The sequence below is a fragment of the Homo sapiens genome, chromosome 1, assembly GCF_000001405.40.
Source record: "Homo sapiens chromosome 1, GRCh38.p14 Primary Assembly".
Classification (NCBI taxonomy): Eukaryota; Metazoa; Chordata; class Mammalia; order Primates; family Hominidae; genus Homo; species Homo sapiens.
In genome coordinates, this window is record NC_000001.11 from 145,591,121 (window position 1) to 145,611,424 (window position 20,304).

General features: G+C 40.7%; 1 protein-coding gene and 1 pseudogene across 10 annotated transcripts in view, besides 2 other annotated features; one reads left to right on the plus strand and one right to left on the minus strand.

Annotated features, from left to right (window-relative positions):
• The window catches only part of NBPF25P (NBPF member 25, pseudogene), a 35,514-nt pseudogene extending 18,776 nt beyond the window's left edge, over positions 1-16,738 (minus strand). Inside the window, exons 1-4 of the transcript NR_104217.1 lie at positions 16,701-16,738; positions 10,754-10,919; positions 3,331-3,465; positions 2,722-2,804 (exon numbers count right to left, since the gene is read on the minus strand). The product of NR_104217.1 is annotated as an NBPF member 25, pseudogene (transcript). The remainder of the gene's footprint in view (positions 1-2,721; positions 2,805-3,330; positions 3,466-10,753; positions 10,920-16,700) is intronic.
• Positions 16,666-16,795: a silencer, noted in NCBI's record as "silent region_1262". NCBI's record gives its function as "represses an Ori minimal core promoter by ATAC-STARR-seq in GM12878 lymphoblastoid cells {active_cell/tissue: GM12878}" and the evidence as "EXISTENCE:reporter gene assay evidence [ECO:0000049][PMID:35858748]".
• Positions 16,868-20,304, plus strand: part of GPR89A (G protein-coupled receptor 89A) — a 62,663-nt gene continuing 59,226 nt past the window's right edge. For 8 of the 9 annotated variants that reach the window (NR_036541.2, XR_007063066.1, NM_001097613.3 and 5 more), the window contains exon 1: positions 16,868-17,055. Coding sequence is in view for 4 of the 9 variants with exons in the window: in NM_001097612.2 (NP_001091081.1) it covers positions 17,014-17,055 (42 nt within the window). In the remaining 5 variants the exon portion in view is untranslated. Of the gene's footprint in view, positions 17,056-17,497; positions 17,556-20,304 lie in introns of those variants that run through there. The other variant, XM_011509909.3, reaches the window with a different exon arrangement.
• Positions 17,136-17,185: a silencer, noted in NCBI's record as "silent region_1263". NCBI's record gives its function as "represses an Ori minimal core promoter by ATAC-STARR-seq in GM12878 lymphoblastoid cells {active_cell/tissue: GM12878}" and the evidence as "EXISTENCE:reporter gene assay evidence [ECO:0000049][PMID:35858748]".

Below are 20,304 nucleotides of genomic sequence, written 5' to 3' on the forward strand. Positions count from 1 at the left end.
GATGGGTTAAAAACTGGTGAAATCAAATCGGTTTAATCAGGACTGAGGGATGTCAGTAACTGAAATTCTTAACTTATTGTTGTGAAAAATGTGATCACTCCCCACAGCACTTTAGGATCCTTCACCACAAAAACAAGGTTCGAGGTGCCTCAACTCAGAGCTGAAAGCACTGCCAGTAGCTCAGACTCTGATAAGAGTGAGGTAGATTGTGGCCAGCGTGCCAGGTAACCGTCTGCAGTTGCAATAACAGAATTAGAAGGTGGGGGTGTCATGGAATCTTAGGAGCCCTGCATTCCAATTGCCCAGGCTTTGCTGAAACACAGGCACCCTAGTCTCACCTGAGGGTCACCACCAATGGGGATCATTCCTTCAGCATTCACTCTCAGTATTCGTGTACCCTTGTGACAATGCCACAGACCCGTGTCTTTCCCACTACATCTAAGCATATTCCTCACTGTTTATCTCTTGTCTGTACAACATCATCAAGGCAGAAACAGTTTCCCAACAGGTTATATTTTCTTAATGGTAGTCATGAAGTCACCCCACCTGCTCTCAGTTAAAACAGAGCTTAAGGCTTTTCCACAGGTGTAAGATATCAAACTTTTAGCCTGCCCTGATATCCTCTGGGTCTTCTGCAGTTTTTTCTGTATCCACTAGAAAGTGAATGAATAATTCATTTTTTTAAAATGTTTTCTTTCCTGTCTCAGTATTCTTGCTGCTGCATCCCATTGTTAGATTGATTTCTTCTTTCTTACTGGGGCACCTTCTTGGGTTTTCATTACATTCTAGACCAGTTTGACATCCCTACATCCAAAGCTCTTCCTCTATGTGGGTTGATTTGTTTTTTAATGTCACTGAGCACTACATTTTATACTTGTCACTTATAGATGTCATTCTAGTGCCACAAGACCTCTTTTCAAGGTATCAAGTGATCAAAGTCATTTATATAGAGGTCTCCTGAAAAAATGTGTGACCATCTATCTTGGGAAGTTTTGTAAACCTGATGCTATTTTGCTGTTTCTATTTTGTTTTCCCATATACTGAAAAGAACAGGGCCACGGGCAGTTCTTATGGAATATGGTTCGATATATATTTTGTTGAGATGACCTAACACCATTGATTTTGGGTTGCATTCCACTAACAGAACATGGCAAGATCAAGGTTATGGTCAGGGTTGGTTGGTGATCCTCAGTGTTGCTGTGCAGTAGAAGGTGAGTTTGAGGTGAGAGGAACAAGTAGGAAAGAGTGATCCCCTGAGCCACCTCTTTGCTTTCTCAGCTTTCATCCCCACCTAGGTTTTGTGAGCCTGGAACTTGAGAGACTGTTCTGTAGCCCAGGTCTCCTAAGATTGCCTGCTGGGCTTGCCTGAGTTGAGGGTGCAGTGGGTTGATGCTTTGAGATGTATCAAAAGCTTTAAGTCAATGTATTTTCTAGGGTCTGGAAGACCTGACATTCTGTGTCAGAATGAAAATCTGTCAAGTTTCTAAATGAAAAAACTGCAGGTTCACAAAGTGACATGGGTTACTTGAGGTCACAAAGGGATGAGTTTTCAGCACTGCCAATAAAAGCAATCACAATAATTATTCAGTAATTATTCATAGGATCCATAGAATCCAGTAAATATTCACATATTTAGTAATTATTCATCGACCAATTCATACAAGGCATTTTGCTCAAAACTGTGTTTATATTTGGACATTGTATCTTCATCATAATCCTTAAGGTAATGCTATTATCCGTAAGTAACAATTAAGAAACCTGAAGATGAGGGATAGCTAATCATGTATTTGGCCATATTTCCATTTTTTGGTTTTTGTGATGCTGGAAGAATGACCAGAATGAGTCACGTGAAGAGTATTCATTCCTGTATTATTTTCCAGGACAGAGGTGTGCCCTTCTAGAGTACTGGGACCAAAATTCAGAAGTGTCTGAAACCTTGCTTTAACAGTATGGGAAATAACCTCTATCACCTGGAATTTCCCTGGAACTTTGGAATATACAAGAGAAGTATGAGACGTGGGTCTTCCCTTGGCTGTGTTTAATTCACTCTTCTATGGAATACCAATGATTCTCACTAAGACTTTTGCCTTTTTATAACCACAATGTATGTCTTATGGAGAAGATTTTACACTTTGCTCTATTTAGAAAGAATAACTATGAGCAATGGTTTAGGTTTTATGCCCTGGACTTCATATTTTTCTGATTTCTGTTTTGAGATTAAATTCTCATGTAAATAGAAAAATACTTATTATTTCTCATCAGGCCAAGTTTGTTATCAGCTTGAGTTTTTGAAGATGAAGCACAAACTTTTGATTTTATCTTTGTCCCCATCAGCTCCACTCATTGTCTCTCAGTATGACCTGGACTTGCCCCTGCATTTACCCTCATCCTGCTGAGCCATCTCCATGCACTGTCCAATTCCATCAGTGATTCGGGGTCCTCCCAAGGCTCCCTGAAATGTGCACAGGGATCAGGATGTCAGACACATTCCAGACACAAAGGCAACCCATACTGTAGAGTGAGCAGCTGTGTTCCCACTTCCCTAATGTTCCAGTGATGTCCTCAAACTGAAGGGAACACTTTCCCTTTTTAAGGGTCTGTTCTTCATGTCTCAATGCCTCTGATCTAGTGAACACAACTGTCCTGAAAGTGAAAGAACCTGCTAAATTTCGGGTTTCTGGTTAGTTGGCTAGAATAAGTTTATAAGACTTCCTTACTTACCTATGACTGCTGACGTTTGAATTCTTAGCAGTATGATTCCTTTTCTTGTAAGCTGAGCAGCTTAGGAAAGATTGGCCATGTTGCTGTGCAAAAAGAGGTAAATTTAATTTCTACTCAAAGCATGCTTGAATTTGGAACTAGGGCTTCCACTCTTCCAAAGTTGGACTGTCACTACCTCAGGCATGTGTCCCAAAAGGCTCATGTCTCTGTTGTACTCAAAGTTCAAATGGAGCCCAGCAAGCCAGATCTCCTTTACTTCTAGGTTCCCTCAACAGTTTCTCCTCTGCTTTAGAGACTGCCTTGAAAATATTCTTGTCCTGCTGTTGTGTTTTGGCTTTGGAATGATGTGATGCAGCTCAATGGGTCCTACCCCCAAGTTGATCAGAGTAAGAAACAGCTGGGAAAGTCAGTGCAAATACAAGTTCATCGTCCTCCTTGCAGGGATTCTGATTCAGAGGGCTCAGGTGGGGCCTGGAATGTGTTTGTTAACATGACTCAGATGTGCAGTCAGTTTGGGGACCCGCTGATACCATCGACCTTATAGTTTTTGGGATGATTCTTTCTGTTTTGCTGATGAAGAAACTGAGGCATAGACAGTCTGTAACTTACCCAAGTTCCCCTTGCTGTAAGTCCTGGAGCCGGATCTCAGGTGGAGCAGCCTCTTCCCCATCCCCTTCCCACATTTTCCAATTCAGCTGGGTCAATTCTTTCCAAGTACGTGTTTCTCTCCCCTATAAGTCATTTCTGAAAAAAGGAGAACTGGACTTTAACTTCTTTCATCTAATACATTTCCTCACAACATGCTGCCAGCATCATATTCTGGCCTCTTACTATTAAAGTGAGATGCCTTTTTTTTGTTTTTTTTTTTTTTTTTTTTTTTTTTTTTGAGACAGGGTCTTGTTCTGTCACCCAGGCTGGAGTGCAGTGGTGATTATAGATCACTGCAACCTTGAACTCCTAGGCTCAAGCGATCCTCCTGCCTCAGCTTTCCAAGTAGTTGGAACTCTAGGCACACATCACCATTTCTGGCTAATTTTTTATTTCTCATGGAGACAAGGTCTTGCTATGTTGCTCAGGCTGGTTTTGAACTTCTGGCCTCAAGCGATCCTCCCACCTAGGCCTCCAAAAGTGCTGGGATTACAGGAGTAAACCACTGAGCCTGGCCCTGAAATGCTTTTTTTTTTTTTTTTAATGAAAATACAAGGCATGGAGATGGGGAAAGACACCTTGCTTTATTACTGTTATTATTTCTATAGTATAATTCATATATCACAAAAATCACCATTTTTAAGCATATATTTCAGTGTCTTTTACCATATTCCAAAAGTTCTGCAACCATCACCACTACCTAATTCCAGAATATTTTCATAATGCCAAAAAGCATGCCTGTACCTATGGGCAGTCACTCTCCAATTCCCCCCTTCTTGCAGTCTCTGACAACCACTAATCTACTTTCTCTATATAAAAATGTAATTGTTCTGGGCATTTCCTCTATATGGGATAACAAAGTGTGGCATTTTGCATCTGCTTCTCAGCATTTTTTTCTCAAGTTTCATCCTTTTTAGCCTGCATCAATACTTCAACTTTTTTATGGCCAAATGATATTCCACCATATGATTATACCACATTTTGTTTATTCATCAACTGATGGTGGTTTAAGATGTTTCCACTTTTTAACTATTATGAATAATGCTGCTATGAACAGCTTTGTACATGTTTTTGAGTGAACATCTGTTTTTCATTTTCTTGGTTATAAACCTAGGAGTGCAATTGCTGCATCATGTCACTTTATGTTTAACTTTCTTTTATGTTTAACTTTTTGAGGAACTTACACACTGTTTACCAACTTCAGTGGCTATGCCATTTTACATTCCCACTAGTAATATATGAGAATTCCATATTCTCCATAACTTTCCAAACATGTGTTGTCTTTATTTTTTCTTAAGTCATACTAGTGGGTGTGAAGTGGTATCTCATTTTGATTTAAATTTACATTTTCCTAATGATGAAAAACATCGAACATCTTTGCATGTGCTTCTTGGCCATTTGTGTGTTTGCTTTAGAGAAACCTCTACTCACAGATTTTTTCCCATTGTTAAATTTGGTTGTTTGTCGTTTATTGCTCAGTTATATGAATTCCTTATATACTCTAGGTACTAGACCCATGTCAAATATATAATTTGGAAATAGTTCTCCCATTATGTGGATTATCTCTTCTCTTCCTTGACATTATCCTTTGAAGCATGTAAGTTTTTTATTTTAGTGAAGTCCATTTATCTATTTATTTTTGGGTTGTTTGTGCCTACTTAAAAAATGTCTAATCCAAAGTCACAAAGATTTGTACCTATGTTTTCTTCAAGACATAGTTTTTTGAATGAGAACTTTCCTGGGTTTTACTGGAGGGCGGACATTGTTTATTTATGCCTCCTGTCCATTACCGATGTTTCTCCTGATTGTTATTCATATGCTCACCACCCCTCCATGGAGCATCCCATGGCCTGTGACAGAGCTCTGGGGACTGATATCCTTCCACTGACTTTGGCGCCGGTGAGAGCCCTGGTCATGTGATTCAGCTTGGCCTTAACCCGACCCAGTTGCACATATTCCTCAGGGCCTTTAGAGTTGAAGTCGAGAGCCTCTCTGAGAATGCTTGCCAGCCCATGCTGTTCTAAGGCTGGAGCAAACTTCCTCAGTCTATTCCAGAGAGAGGGGACTGCAGGGGTGGGACTCATTCAAGACATCTCTGGTGTTAGAAAGTAGACCTGTTTCAGGGTTTGGGGAAGATTGTTCAAAATGAACTAGGTTCTCTCTATTTTTACTGTATGTGTGACTTCTTTCCAGAAACAAAGGAAGAATATTTATGTTAGAACATTTTGTCTATTCTTTGTCAATTGTTGTTTGTCTACAATTTTAATGGATAAAGGAGAGCTCAGTGTAAATATATTCTTAAGAATTATGGTTCATGCCCACTGCCATGCAATCATATTTAAATCTATGAACTGGCCGGACGCGGTGGCTCACGCCTGTAATCCCAGCACTTTGGGAGGCCGAGGCGGGTGGATCATGAGGTCAGGAGATCGAGACCATCCTGGCTAACATGGTGAAACCCCATCTCTACTAAAAATACAAAAAATTAGCTGGGTGTGGTGGCAGGCGCCTGTAGTCCCAGCTACTCAGGAGGCTGAGGCAGGAGAATGGCATGAACCCAGGAGGCAGAGCTTGCAGTGAGCTGAGATTGAGCCACTGCACTCCAGCCTGGGTGACAGAGCGAGACTCCATCTCAAAAAAAAAAAAAATCTATGAACTATCCTGTTACTTAGGTATTATCCTGCTCCTGATGAGAAAACAAACTCAGAAAGATTGCAAAATTTCCCTAAGTCACAAAACTAGTGAGGAGAGGAATAAGAATTAGATATCAGTTCCTTTTGGCCTTCAAAGCTAACCGTGTACCATTAGATCAAACTGATTTACATACTTTTGCTGGAATTAGTCTCAGAGTTTGTGGTTCTCACTTGATTTTCCCAAGGGAACTGTGTGCCACTTTAATATCATTTCAAACTTTGAAATTTAAAACTTTTTTATTATACTTTTTTGTCTTTGTAGAATTGATCAAGCAGAAGAAAAAATTAGAAGCCGTCATCTGAGGATAATGTGTGGTCATGACCCCTTCGGCCAGGACAGTTTTTGTGTCCTCTTTTTTTCTTTTCCTCCAGTGTCTGTTTCTCTCTGACACTCAGCTTTCCTGAAAACTGTTTAGTGTTTCTAATTCAGCCAAATTTTCACGTTGTATTTTTCTTTCTCATCTGCTGCAGTTTTCATCTTTAAACTAGCCAGATCGGTAGATGGAAGAAACAATGAGGTACCTCCAAAATTGAGTTAGATCAATGTAACCAACAGAAAATGATGAGATTAGATAAACACAAGTGACCTGAGCCAGTGGAATATAACTTAACAATTAAAAAACTCAATGATATCTATAAGGCAGACATTATGACAGGGAATGTCGTTATGATATTACAATTGTTCATCTCTCTATGATCTCTCACATCAGAAGGTCAATTTTCTCCAGTTTTTTTTTTTTTTTTTTCATAATTGCTTCAGCCTAAGGCACTAAATTCTAGGACAACTCTATATTTTTCTTGAATTATAGATTACTTGTCTTCCTTTAAATATTTTTTAGAAATTTACTTATCCAATAGTCAAAGAGGATTCTTCTTTACATTTTTATTAATTCTGTTGACATAATTTTATTGTGTCTAGTCAGGTCCTATACATATCCTGGGATGGATGAGATTCTCAGTTTTATAGATAAGTAATAGATAGGGAAAATAACAACTAGACAGAGAATAACCTGGAGTCTCTGGAAGGTTTCAGAGACATGAGAAGAAAACAATTAAGACCAAAAGTAAAAGAATGGCATAATTTCAAAAAATCTTTACTTAAAAATAAAAATTATTTAAAATCTGTTTTGTACTCTCAAAAAAAAGGTTAAAGAAAACATGGACTCTATAAAACAATAGATGAAACACAAGATAATAAGGTACTAGATTGAATTGTAAAAGGAGCTGGCAGAGTTAAGAAACAGAGCCACAGCAGAATTTAAGAATAAAGAGCAGAATTAGCAATACATAATACCAAATCAATTTTGTAAAGAATCAATATCAGAAATTCTCCCAAATGCCAAAAGAAAGGACAAAGAGATGAAAATTATCCAAGAAGAAATAACAGATATGGAGGAAAGACAATAAAAATCCAACACATAGATATCAATGCTCCTGAAGAAAAGTCAGGACAAGTGAACCATAAGCTCTAAAGATACAATAGAAGGAAATTTTCTTGAGCTGATAAAAGACCTGACATTGCAAATTGGAAGGGACTCATCATGCACCAGAAAAATCTAGATAAATTTTGATTTGCAAGTATAAAGACATAATTCTATAATTTAGAAATGTAATGGAACAACCCCTGCGATGGTTTTTGTACCACTGTTTAACAACTATGTTTTCACATTCTTGTCTGCTTGTGAACAGAGAGTAGGATCATACCTCTCTCAATAGGAGGTGAGGCTTCCTTGAAGATAATAGATATTTCAAATGTCAACTGCTGAAAAGAGAAAGATTCTAAGATGAGAAAAGAGAATTTGGAAGGTGGGCCTTAAACAGGAACAAGAGGGAATTCCTTTCTCTGAGCCTCATTCTCTTGAGCCTGCAATCCAAAGAGTCATAATATGCTCACTAGTACTTCCAAAAAAGGAAGGGATAATGGCATCTGCCATATGGAGGCAAGCTAGGAACTAAGTTGGGGAGTTAATGAGTTAATACAAGTCAAGATCTTAAAACAGTACCTGGCACATAATAAGCACTCCACAAATATTAGCTATCATCACCTTCATAATTATTATTATATGTGATATGATTACCGTAATTTAGCATAGCCTTATTATTATTATTATTTTTGAGACAGTCTTGCTCTGTCACCCATGCTGGAGTCCAGTGACACAATCTCAGCTCACTGCAACCTCCACCTCCCGAGTTCAAGCAATTCTCCTGCCTCAGCCTCCAGAGTAGCTGATACTACAGGCGCATGCCACCACGCCTGGCTAATTTTTGTATTTTTAGCAGAGACGGGGTTTCACTATGTTGGCCAGGCTGGTCTCAGACTCCTGACCTCGTGATCCACCCACCTCAGCCTCCCAAAGTGTTGGGGTTACAGGCAGGAGCCACCACGCCCAGCCTAGTCTTATTGGAGGAAAGACAATAAAAATGCACTTTAGACTCAGCTTTGATAGAGATTTAAGAAAAGGGTTTATATGGTCTGGAGGGTAAAGGAGAGAGATTCCTCCTCTCCCTCAGAGGCCACTGTTGGTCATAGGGATGAATAATAGCTCAAAAGGAAAAGGGAAGCTGGAGTGAGCATAAGGAACCAAAAACTCTCAGTTTCAGCCAACCCTCTCAGTGTGGCGCTTGTCCTTCCAGTGCCAACTGTGGATGAAAAGAGTGTTTATCAAGTTACTTACAAAGGAAAAAAAAATCAGGCTGGCATCATACTTCTGCATAACACATTAAATTTCAGAAAAGATTATCCACAGAATATTGCAGATGAAAAACTTCAGCTGAAAACTCCACAACAAGCCAAATTTCATTCATGTGTGAAGCCAATTGAAAGGCACTCTCAATTATGCAAAAGCTCAAAATACCTGCAAACACTTTTTTAAAGAAAAATTTATTTCATAACCCACTCAAGCCAAGAGAGAAATATTTTTTGTTTTTTGTTGTTGTTGTTTTTTGTTTTGTTTTTTGTTTTTTGAGATGGACTTTCATTCTTGTTGCCCAGGCTAGAATGCAATGGTGCAATCTTGGCTCATTCAACCACCACCTCCCAGGTTCAACCAATTCTCATGCCTCAGCCTCACGAGTAGCTGGGATTAGAGGCGTGCGCCACCATGCCTGGCTAATTTTTGTATTATTAGTAGAGACAGGGTTTCACCATGTTGGCCAGGCTGGTCTCGAACTCCTGACCTCGGGTGAGACACCCACCTCAGCCTCCCAAACTGCTGGGATTACAGGTATTAGCCACCGCGTCCACCCAAGAGAAATATTTTTTAAAAGAATTCAAGGCCAGGCATAGTGGCTTATACCTGTAATCTCAACATTTTGAGAGGCAAAGGTGGGAAGATCACTTGAGCCCAGGAGTTTGAGACTAGCCTGGGCACATTGTGAGACCCTGTCCCTATGAAAATTTAAAAATTAGCCAGGCATGATGGCGCACGCCTATAGTCCCAGCTACTTGAGAAGCTGAGGTGGGAGGATCACTTGAGCCCAGGAACTATAGTGAGCTGTGATCATGCCACTGCACTCCAGCCTGAACAGCAAAGTGAGATGCTGTCTCAGGAAAAAAAAAAAAAAAAAAAGAAATCAAAAAGGCAAAGTATGAAAGAGGCTGATGATGAATACTGAAGACATTTAAGCATAAAATGAATTAAATGTAACTATTTTAAGTATAGTTACAACACAGAATACAAATATCATAAATAATCCTTAACAAAAATATATTTTTAAAGTAAGGTTTAAAATCCCAGATTACACCAACATAAACTTGGGTATTGTGTGGGGTGAAGGGAGTAACAAAGAAGGAGAAATGTGAGAAAGTAGAAGTGTCCTGGTATTCTCAACGTACAAAGATACTATTTTATTCTCTATGTTAGTAATAAAAAAATATAAAGTTGTGTGTGTTATTTTAAAACAAAATGCATGCCTTCCAGATTACTAGGAAACAAAACAAGAAACAAGGACTACAAAATCCATATAGCAAAAAGAAGAAAAAACAGAAAAAAGGCAAAAATAAAGACCAAACACAGAAAATACAAGAGCAGAATCATTAAACCAAACCAAAATATTGGTCTTTATTAATATAAAATATAATATGCAACAAAGACACACTACGAATCATTTTGCACTGAAAAATAAGGCACTGGACTGTATGAAGCTCTCAGAAAAAATGGAGATATGGACAGAAAAATAGTAGCAATAAAAGACTTCAGTCCTTGACGAATTGATAGAAGACAAAAATAGAGAGGACCTAAATGTAATTTACAAGTCTGATTTAATGGATATGTAATGAAATGTTAAACAAAATATTTCCTATGTCTTGGAGTTTCAGTAAGGCTACATAACCAAGGACAATAAATGCTCAATGTCTACACTTTCTAAAAAGTGGTACAAAGCACAATCTAGAATTCCTTAAAAAAAAAAAGTAGCCCCTAAATGGTCTTGCAACTCCTAGCTCACAATCCACCTCTGGGTTATTTAAGAGAAAGATAAGGGTTAACTGATAGGAGCAGTCTTTGAAGAGAGTTGTCAGACTAGAAGAAAGAGCTGTGGTGTTTCTCATCCCCTTCTCTCATTCCCCTCCAAGTGAGGGGCTCAAGGAAAACCTCTGAGACTTTCTGGGAAGCACTTGCTGGGAGGGAGGCCTGACCTCTTTCTCACTAGTCATTAGTGGCCTATTAGTCTGCAGAAGTTCACAGGCTCACCTCTGGCTGCCACAGTAGCCAAGCTTGCAGGAGCTTGATGTGTGTCTTCAGAATTTGCTGGGACATAGACACGGTGACCTTCCCTTGCCCAGGGAAAATTGTAGGCTTGAATAAGTGTTTCTTGTGGGCCAAATTCTTCACCATCATATTATTATAGTAAACACCACTAAAAAAAAAATCCAAAAGGTAGATTGGTTAAGTTACAAATGACATAACCATATGATGGAATGTTATTGAGTCAATAAAAATGTTATAAAGTATTTGGCACAAGAAAATATTCATAATATACATTTTTTTGAGACAGGGTCTCACTCTGTTGCCCAGGCTGGAATGCGGTGGTACAATCACAGATTCTTACAGCCTCAACCTCCTAGGCTCAAGCAATCCCCACACTTCAGCCTCCAGAGTAGCTGGGATTACAGGTGCGCACCACCATGCCTGGCTAATTTTTTTTTTTTTTTTGGTAGAGACAGGATCTCCCAATGTAACCCAGGTTGGTCTCAAACTCCTGGGCTCAAGTGATCCTCTCACCTCGGACTCCCAAAGTGCTGGGATTACAAGTTTTAGCCACCATGCCTGGCCTATAATACTATAATATATTTCTTTTTTTTTTTTTTTTTTTTGAGATGAAGTCTCACTCTGTCACCCAGGCTGGAGTGTGGTGGCACAATCTCAGCTCACTGCAACCTCCGCCTCCCAGGTTCAAGTGATTCTCCTGCCTCAGCTTCCTGAGTAGGTGGGATTACAGGCATGTGCCACCATGCCCAGCTAATTTTTGTATTTTTAGTAGAGACGGGGTTTCACCATGTTGGCCAGGCTGGTCTCAAACTCCTGACCTGAAGTGATCCGCCCATCTTGGCCTCCCAAAGTGCCGGGACTATAGGCGTGAGCCACCATGCCCAGCCCCATAAAATATTTCTAAAATGAAATATAATGAAAAATATATAACAACATAGTATACTCATTGTCTTAGTTCATGCTATTATAACAAGATACCCAACATTAGGTGGCTTAAACAACAAAGTTTTTAAAATTTTTTATTCTTAAGTTTTGTGGGTGCATAGTAGGTGTATATATTTAACAGCCATTTATTTCTCACAGTTCCAGATGCCAGAAGTCCAAGATCAGGGTGCCAGCATGGTCACTTCTTGGTGAGGGCCCTCCTTCTGGTTCACAGACAGCTGCCTTCTCACCATATACTCACCTGTCAGAAAGAGAGCGTGCTGGTTCCTTCATCTCCTTGGAAGGGCACAAATCCCATCATGGGGCTTCACTCTCATGACCTCGTCTAAATCTAATCAGCTCCCAAAGGCCCTCCTCCAAATACTATCACATCGGGAACCAGGGCTTCAACATATGCATTTTGCGGGTACACAAACAGGATCCATTTTTTCAATATTGGATCACTAGGAGTCCATAGCACTCCTCCAATTTTGGGAATCCAAAATTGTGATCCAATTTTGGGAAAATCAAAAGGTATATGTGCGTTCGTGTGGGTATGCATCACGTTAACCAAGAATAAGAATGAATATCCCAGACTTTGGAAATATGCCAGTGTTGTACTCCTTTGCAACTGTCTTAACATTACGGTGGCAAATCTCAATCCAGTGGTAAAGATGGGGACTTCTTTAAAATAAGCAAATGTCCCTGCTGGTAGTTATCCCAAGAAGAGGTCAGTCCTGGAGCAAGAAGTGGTGGGGCAGTAGGGAGAGCTTTCTGCTCTGCCTGAGCACAGACGGCAGGGGACCAGAAGTTTGGAACAGTTCATACAATAAGAATATGAACATCCTTTACTTTGAACTTCAACTAATATATTCCATTTTAAATTTAATCTCTACATATTCTTCCCCTTTGTTCACAAAATATATGGATCAAATTCATTCTGCATGATAATTATATCAACAGAGAATCCCAAAATTAGTTTTAATAAATGGAAAAAGTTGGTGTTATATATTTCAAATAATGCCACTGAATCTTTCCAAATTTGAGAGCTCTACGATCATCAGTCTTTTCAGTATAATTTGAATAATTGACAACCAAAACTTTTAAATATACATTTATAAATATTAATAAATAAATATACATTGAAACTAATGATGAAGGAAAACTGAATGTAAACTCATAATAATAATAATAATGGGTAAAAATTGTTGCATACTTACTATAAAGTGCTTATTTTCCTGAGGGCTTTATGTATATTACTTAATCTTCATAATAACCTTATGAGATAAGATACTATTACTATCTCTATTTTTTAGATGAGGAAACTGAAGTACAGAGAGTTTAGTAACTTGCATAAAACCACACAACTATTTAATCTTCTTTCCTCAGGAACACGACCTCAAGAACAACCAAGCACTTGATACAGAGCTGACTCTAACTCATATGAACCAGTCAAGGCCCTGGACAAGGCGGTGCATACCAAGTCAGCACCAAGGTCAATATATCCAAAATGAGATTGTATAAGAGGAAAGGACTGGAATGCACCTCCAAGAAGGTCTGGAAAAGTGAGAACCAACTAGGGAAGAGGTTCAAAGTAGACTCAAGGAAGATGAAGGGGAATTCTTGAGCCAAAGCGCAAGTGGTTGGAAAAGATCTTTAGGCTTCCTGAGGCTATAGAGTGAGCATATCTAGAGAAAGGGTGCGGGAGTGGAAAAAAGCAAAGAGCAAAGCTAGCACCACTCTGGCCCTCAGTCCCCTTTCTCTAGACAAATCGGAGCTGGCATTTTCCTAGTGTGAAGGTGCTAACTCACTCTAGGAAAGTTTTGAGATGGGGAGCAGAGTCTCACAACCAGTCCCCAGTCAGTATGCATAAGAATCTCCTGGGATGCCGTTACAAATGCAGATTCCTTCTTAAAAAAAAATTGAACTCACAAAAGCAGAGAGTAGAGTGGTGATTACCAGGGGCTGGTGGGGGATAGTCGGGTGGGGTTGGAGAGATGTTGGTCAAAGGATACAAAATTTCAGTTAGATAAGAGGAATAAGTTCAAGAGATCTATTGTACAATATGGTGACTGTAACTAATAAAAATGTATTGCATTTTTGAAAATCTCTGAGAGTAGATTTTAAGTATTCTCACCACAAAAATAAATATCTGAAGTAATATATATGCTAATTACCTTGCTTTAGCCATTCCACAATGTATACATATTTCAAGATATCATTTTATGCATGATAAATATATATAATTTTTATTTATTAATTAATTGACTCCTAGATTCCTCCTGGGAGTCACTTTCAGAAATCCCAAGTCCACTGGTCTACATTAGGACTTATGAATCTACATTTTAAATAAGCTCCCCAAGTCATGAGAGAACCACACTTTGAGAAAACTGCACTTATATATTTTCTAGGTATCAAGTATAGATACTGTCCATGGGACCATTGGGAAATAAACACTTTTCCTCTGAATACTTGGGGTTTCCTGTCCAGCTTACACTGGTGACTTAGTGGGGCACACAGGGGAGTTCAGAGACTCAGTGAACCTGGCACAGTGGGCAAAACTACAAGATAGGTTGTCTATCCATGAAGGGAGACAGCGGGAGTAGGATGCCACGGAATTGGTGATACCATATGTCTCAAACGATCCCAGACTTACAACTGCATGTGAATCTACAACTATGTCATAATAAGTAAAAAGTTTCAAAAGAAAATCCCTAACAGAGATCATCCAGCCACTGGCATGGGCAGGTGCTATGTAAGTGCACGGAGAAGAAGTACTAGGGTGTTTCCCAGGGATCTAATGTTAGTGTCAACTCCTGGGCCCAGTCCTTTGCATTAATTTGGAGGAAGGGGATGAAGTAGTTAGCTGTCAGTATGTGGATGGTGCTGGGAAGTGTGAGAGTACCGTAGGTATGAACACTGCAGTTGCTATGAAAAAGGACAGTAAAGTGGTGTGAGCAAACACTCATCCAAAGGACACAGACTGATCATCTTGTCAGTTGACTCTTTGTAGCACATCTATGGGACTGGCTGTCAATCTCTGGATGAGTGGCAAACAATGGCTACTAGTTATGAACATGACATATTTTGAAAAGCTCCCTTGGAAAAAGCACAAACTGGGGACTCAGAGCCCAGATGGTGTGACTGTCCATGGAGGCAGAACCAAAAGATCCCACTATTCTAAGAGGATGGCAGCAGCTAGAGTGGATCGGGAGAATATTACCAGCAGTAGAGATGGGAGGACAAGCCATTTTAGTGTCAGAGTCCACCACCAGCAGTACAGACTTGCTTTGAAAGGAGAGTCAATTGGATACTAAATGCAGTGCGAAGGTTTCTAAAGACATTCCTCAATCAAAATCAGGGGATAAAGCAGTCGCTTGAATCACCTAGGCCTGTCCTTTACCTGGACACAAGTGGTACAGTAGGGAGCATTCTGAATAGTGTCACCCAAAGCTTTGCATAGGCCTTAGGCCAGCAGGTATTGCACACCTTTCTCTGCTATTCCTCGTTACTGATATTCTGATCCCCACTGTGCACCCCAGTAAGCCACCAAGGTAAACTGCTTGCCTTGATAGTCTCTTTCAGCACTCTGCACTCTACACACTCTTGAATGTCAGTTAGGTGCTGTTATGTGGGAATCTACCTGCTTACCTAATAGATATAGCCTGGACACAAAGTTCTCTGGTTTATGACACTCCCATTGTACAGCTGCCTCCATAGCTCCTTGAAATTCTGGATCAGGGATTGGACATCTGACAGGTAGTTTTGACTGCTTGGTATCACAGAGTTCAATCCAACAAAAGGAAGACATGTTCCCTTGTGTATAATGAATCTGCAGATCACTTATTCAAACTATAGTAGTCTGAACTCAGATGCTGGATGTCAGGTCCCCTCAGGATTGTCTTCCTGCGTCTTGACTGCAGCCACTCCTACACAGGGTGATTTCCTGGGCTGGAGCCAGTTTGCAGGACTATGAGACTATATAGACTACAAAGCCTAGCTAGGCCCCAGGTCGGCGGCAGAGTAAGCCCCACAGCAATGCGTTAAGCCTTCATGAAATGAGTGTTGAATGAATGAGGTAGTGATTCAGTGTATATTTGATCCACTGCAATAGGTGGGAAGGGGGCAGAGGCAGCTACTTCCTAAAATAACCCTTCTTCAGACTCTTAAAGAACTGATCCTTGTTTTGAATTAAAATCTATCTTCATTTAACTTCCAGTCCTTTGCCCTACAGATAATTCGTAGCGCCACATCAGTTCTACCCATTCTTTCACATGAAGACAGATGTCATGTTCTGAGTCATCTTTCTTCGCCTCCTTCCAGCAGCCCTTATCTGGTGGCTCACATTTGAGCGAGCTCCAATATGTCTCTGTAGAATCTCTCTCTTCTTTTTTCTTTTCTTTTTTTTTTTTTTTGAGATGGAGTTTCGCTCTTGTTGCCCAGGCTGGAGTGCAATGGCGCGATCTCGGCTCACCGCAACCTCCCCTCCCGGGTTCAAGCGATTCTCCTGCCTCAGCCTCCCTAGTAGTTGGGATTACAGGCATGCACCACCACGCCCGGCTAATTTTGTATTTTTAGTAGAGACAGGGTTTCTCCATGCTTGTCAGGCTGGTTTTGAACTTGCGACCTCAGGTGATCCGCCCGCCTTGGTCTCCCCAGGTGCTGGGATTACAGGCGTGAGCCGGCCCGGCCTGTAAAATCTCTTCAAAGTGTGGTACATGGAGTGCAGTACTCCACCTGTGGCCTGACTGATATGCAGTACAATATTATCACTAAATTGCTACAGACAGTGTGCTTTTCATTGTTGTCACAGAAATGTATTTGGTTAGTTATATTTGTTCATATCTCATCTGACTTTCCAGTCTTCCCTCACTTTGTACAGTCATATTTGCCGAGTCAAGTAAAAGTTATAACATTTAGGACACAATGCCCGACTTACTATAATTACCATTATTATCTTAGGATCATTACAAAACAGAATTACCACTTAGCTCTCAGGCCCTACCTCCTTCAGCCTCAGAAACGTTAACGCTACCTTGCATTGCTGCTTTTAGCACCGCCCCTAATAAGCCCCGCCCCTGGGGCCTCCGCGGCGGGAGCCTAGCGTCCGCCCCACCCACCCCGAGCCCGAGGCGGGGCTGTGGATGTAGACGCTGATTGGCTGACTGGGGCGCAGCTTGATGGCGTCGGGCTGGAGAGCCGCAGTCCCGGCTGCAGCACCTGGGAGAAGGCAGACCGTGTGAGGGGGCCTGTGGCCCCAGCGTGCTGTGGCCTCGGGGAGTGGGAAGTGGAGGCAGGAGCCTTCCTTACACTTCGCCATGAGTTTCCTCATCGACTCCAGCATCATGATTACCTCCCAGGTGAGTCACCGCCTCCCGCCCCGACACCCGTCCGCCTCCCTTTACCGAATCGCCCTCTCCGGTCCTCCGCGGTGCGGGCTGGTCCGGGGTCTCGCTCCTCTCTTACGCGTCCTGCGCTAGTCACTCTGGCACCCAGAGAGGGTGTGCGATTTGCTGCGGCCGGTTCCCTCAGCCCCGGCTGTCAGGAGACTGGCCTGCGGCCGTCCGCGTCCCCACCCGGCATCCATCCCCGGAATTTCGGTCCACTTTTGGAAGCGGTCCGCCGACCTCCAGGCTAAGAGCCGGCGCCGCCAGCTAAGGCGGCGGTTCTAGGAGCTCCTCGAAGCTTCCGGGCTGCGCCAACTGATCCTGGACTGGGGAAGCCTGTGTGGTTCTGGGCGCGCGGTGTGCGACGCGCCAATACTGGATACTGAGGACACGTCAGTGCAGGCTTTGCTGTTAGATGTCAAATCCTGAATCCGGGTGTGGAGAAATTTGCTGCTTCAAAGTATCAGTATAAGGTAATACCTGTGCTTGAAAGTATAAGGTTTCGTTTTTGCACTGACACCTCGTCCTTTATCCTCTGCTTAGTTACCCACCTTTTCCGGATGTTTTTCTGACCCTCATTTCTTCTCCATTGGCCACCTTCATTTGTTTGTACAGTCAACAAACATTTATCGACCATTATATAAAGCTCTGAGCGTAAAAACATGTAAGACACTGTCTCTGCTCAATAGAAGTTTCGTCTAGTTAGCCTCTTGCTTTTACCATGTAATCTATTGTTAATTATTGTTTCTTCCTAGCATTCATCATAGCACTGGCATCATTTATGTCTGTGTTTCTGATTTTGTTTTTTGAGATCCTGCCTTGTTCATAGCTGTATCCCCACTTCCAAGTGCAGGCATTCAATAAATAATTGTTGGCCAATATTTGTGAAGCTCAGACTGCCTGTTGACCTTCTTCCCCCCATCTTTCCAATAAAGATTTTGTGTGTGTGTGGTTGTTTTTACTTGTTCTTTCTCTCAAACGGCAAATAACAGAAGCAGTTACCTTTGGGGGCTTAAAGTGAACTAAATTTGTGTTCTTTGATTCCGTTTTTGTATTGCTTCATCCTAATACTCGTCTCCGTAGAGCGGAGCATTGTCCTTTTCTCTTCAAAAACTTGTTTACAATATTTAAGAAAATAAGAAAGAAGGAAAAGCCATCCATAATCCTACCACTCTAATGCAATAGTTTTTTCATTTTTAAAATTTACCACCTTTTCTATAGTTTTCATAAGTATTGTTTTTATTGGCTGCATAATATTCAAATGTATTAATGTAAAAAAACCTAGACATGTAACTCTTCTGCTTAAAACCTTTCTAAGACTACCCAGTGCCCTTGGTGACAACTCAGGGTTATTTTTAGCCTTAGTACCAATTTAAGAAAAATAACAATATTTAATTAGCTTTTCTTTTCATTTAGAATAAAGATAAGAATGTCAGTAGAAAATTGGCTTTGCATTGCAGCCTCTACGATTTTTAGCATGGATATAATTGATACGTTGAACCGAGGAAGTGGCTTTCTAATTTTGTATGCCTTATAATCATAGACTTTCACTTCACACATGCATCCACATGCAGTAATTAATTGTTAAACCTGGTTTTTACAAATGTGGAAGAAAGACCCAAAGATTCCTTTGCATGGAATGTTCTCTGTTCAGATATTTATGTGGCTACTTTATCATCCTTTCGGTATTAATAAAAATGTCGCTTTAGGAAGGTCTTACCTGACACCCTGCCCACAACCAAAGTAGCTTTCCATTTCGGCTGCCTTCTTCCTCATTTCCATGTTTTATTTTCTTCTTGGCATTTATTACTATGGTTCATTTGTATATTCATGTGTTTGTTATCTGTCCATGAGGTCCAAGATACTGTCTGTCTTGTTCTCTCCTGTATTCACCAGCATCTAGATCAGTTGCGGGCACATAGTAGAGTTGTAGTGAATATTTGTTTAATAAAAAGCACCTCTCTAGAGAGGTGTGGTTACCTTGGAAACACCACCATTGCCCCCTGCGCCCCTCCCTGCTCATTTTTTCTGTTTTGTATTAACTGAAAGGTTTATTTGAAATGAAATCTGAAATCAGAGGTCACGTATTCAATCTTGCTCACCACGGCACAGGATGAAGTTCAAACTCCTTTACATGGCTTTTCAGGTCCCTTATTGATGGGACCCTGGCTCTTCTCTCTTCAGCTGTGGCTCCAATTTATTCTTTAGACTTCCTGAACTTCTTTTAGTTCCCTAACCTGGCGATGCTATGGTGCCTCCAGATTTCCACACAGTGTGTTTTCTCTTTCTGGGCCTTTTCCTCATATCCCTCCCCTTCTTTAAGCCTTCAGATCTCAAGTTGAACATCCAAGAAGCTTCCCCTAGACTGGACTAGATGTCCCTATACCTACTGCCATAGTACCCTTCACCTACTTCCCCTGTAACAACACTACCACATTGTTTGGTAATTACTTGTTTATCTCCTCCATAGATTATAAACTCCTTGAGAGTAGCATTCATGCTCTCATTTGCCATTCTATCCCTTGGACCTGGCACATATTAGGCACTAATAAATATTTGTTAAATGATTAAAAGGGTGAATAAATGATCCAAGAAAGGTGTCTTTTATAGTTAATTCTTTAATAACTGTCCTGCTGATGGCCATCTTTTTTTTTTAACAGTAGCTAATTTTCAACCCAGAAGTCACTTTTTTAAAAGCAACTGTTAACTAACTCATGTTTTGAGCCCTCTATACCGTCATAAGACTTATCAGTTCCAGAGTACACTCTTAAGTCCTAAGGTCAAGACTCTGTACAATTCTGAAAGTATCAAGTCTCATTTTTAATAAGAAGCTATACGCCTTCCATTTTATTTGCAAAGCTATTTGAAATTGCATTTTGCTTCTGCTTTCTTTTTGGATCCTCTATAATCTTGCCAGAATTTGTGTTTACTTGGATGTAAATGAATTCTCCAGCTACTTGTGTGTGTGTGTGTGTGTGTAGTTTAAGTCTTTTTTTTTTTTTCAACTTTTATTTTATTTTAGATTTGGTACTTGTGCCGGGTATATTGTGGGAGCTCAGGTTTGGGGTACAAATGATCCGGTCACCCAGGTACTGAGCATAGTACTCAATAATTAGTTTTTCAACCCTTCCCCCTTCTCCCCTCCCCTGCCCCCAAGTAGTCTCCAGTTTCTGTTTTTGCCATCTTTATGTTGGTGAGTACCCAATATTTAGCTCCCACTTA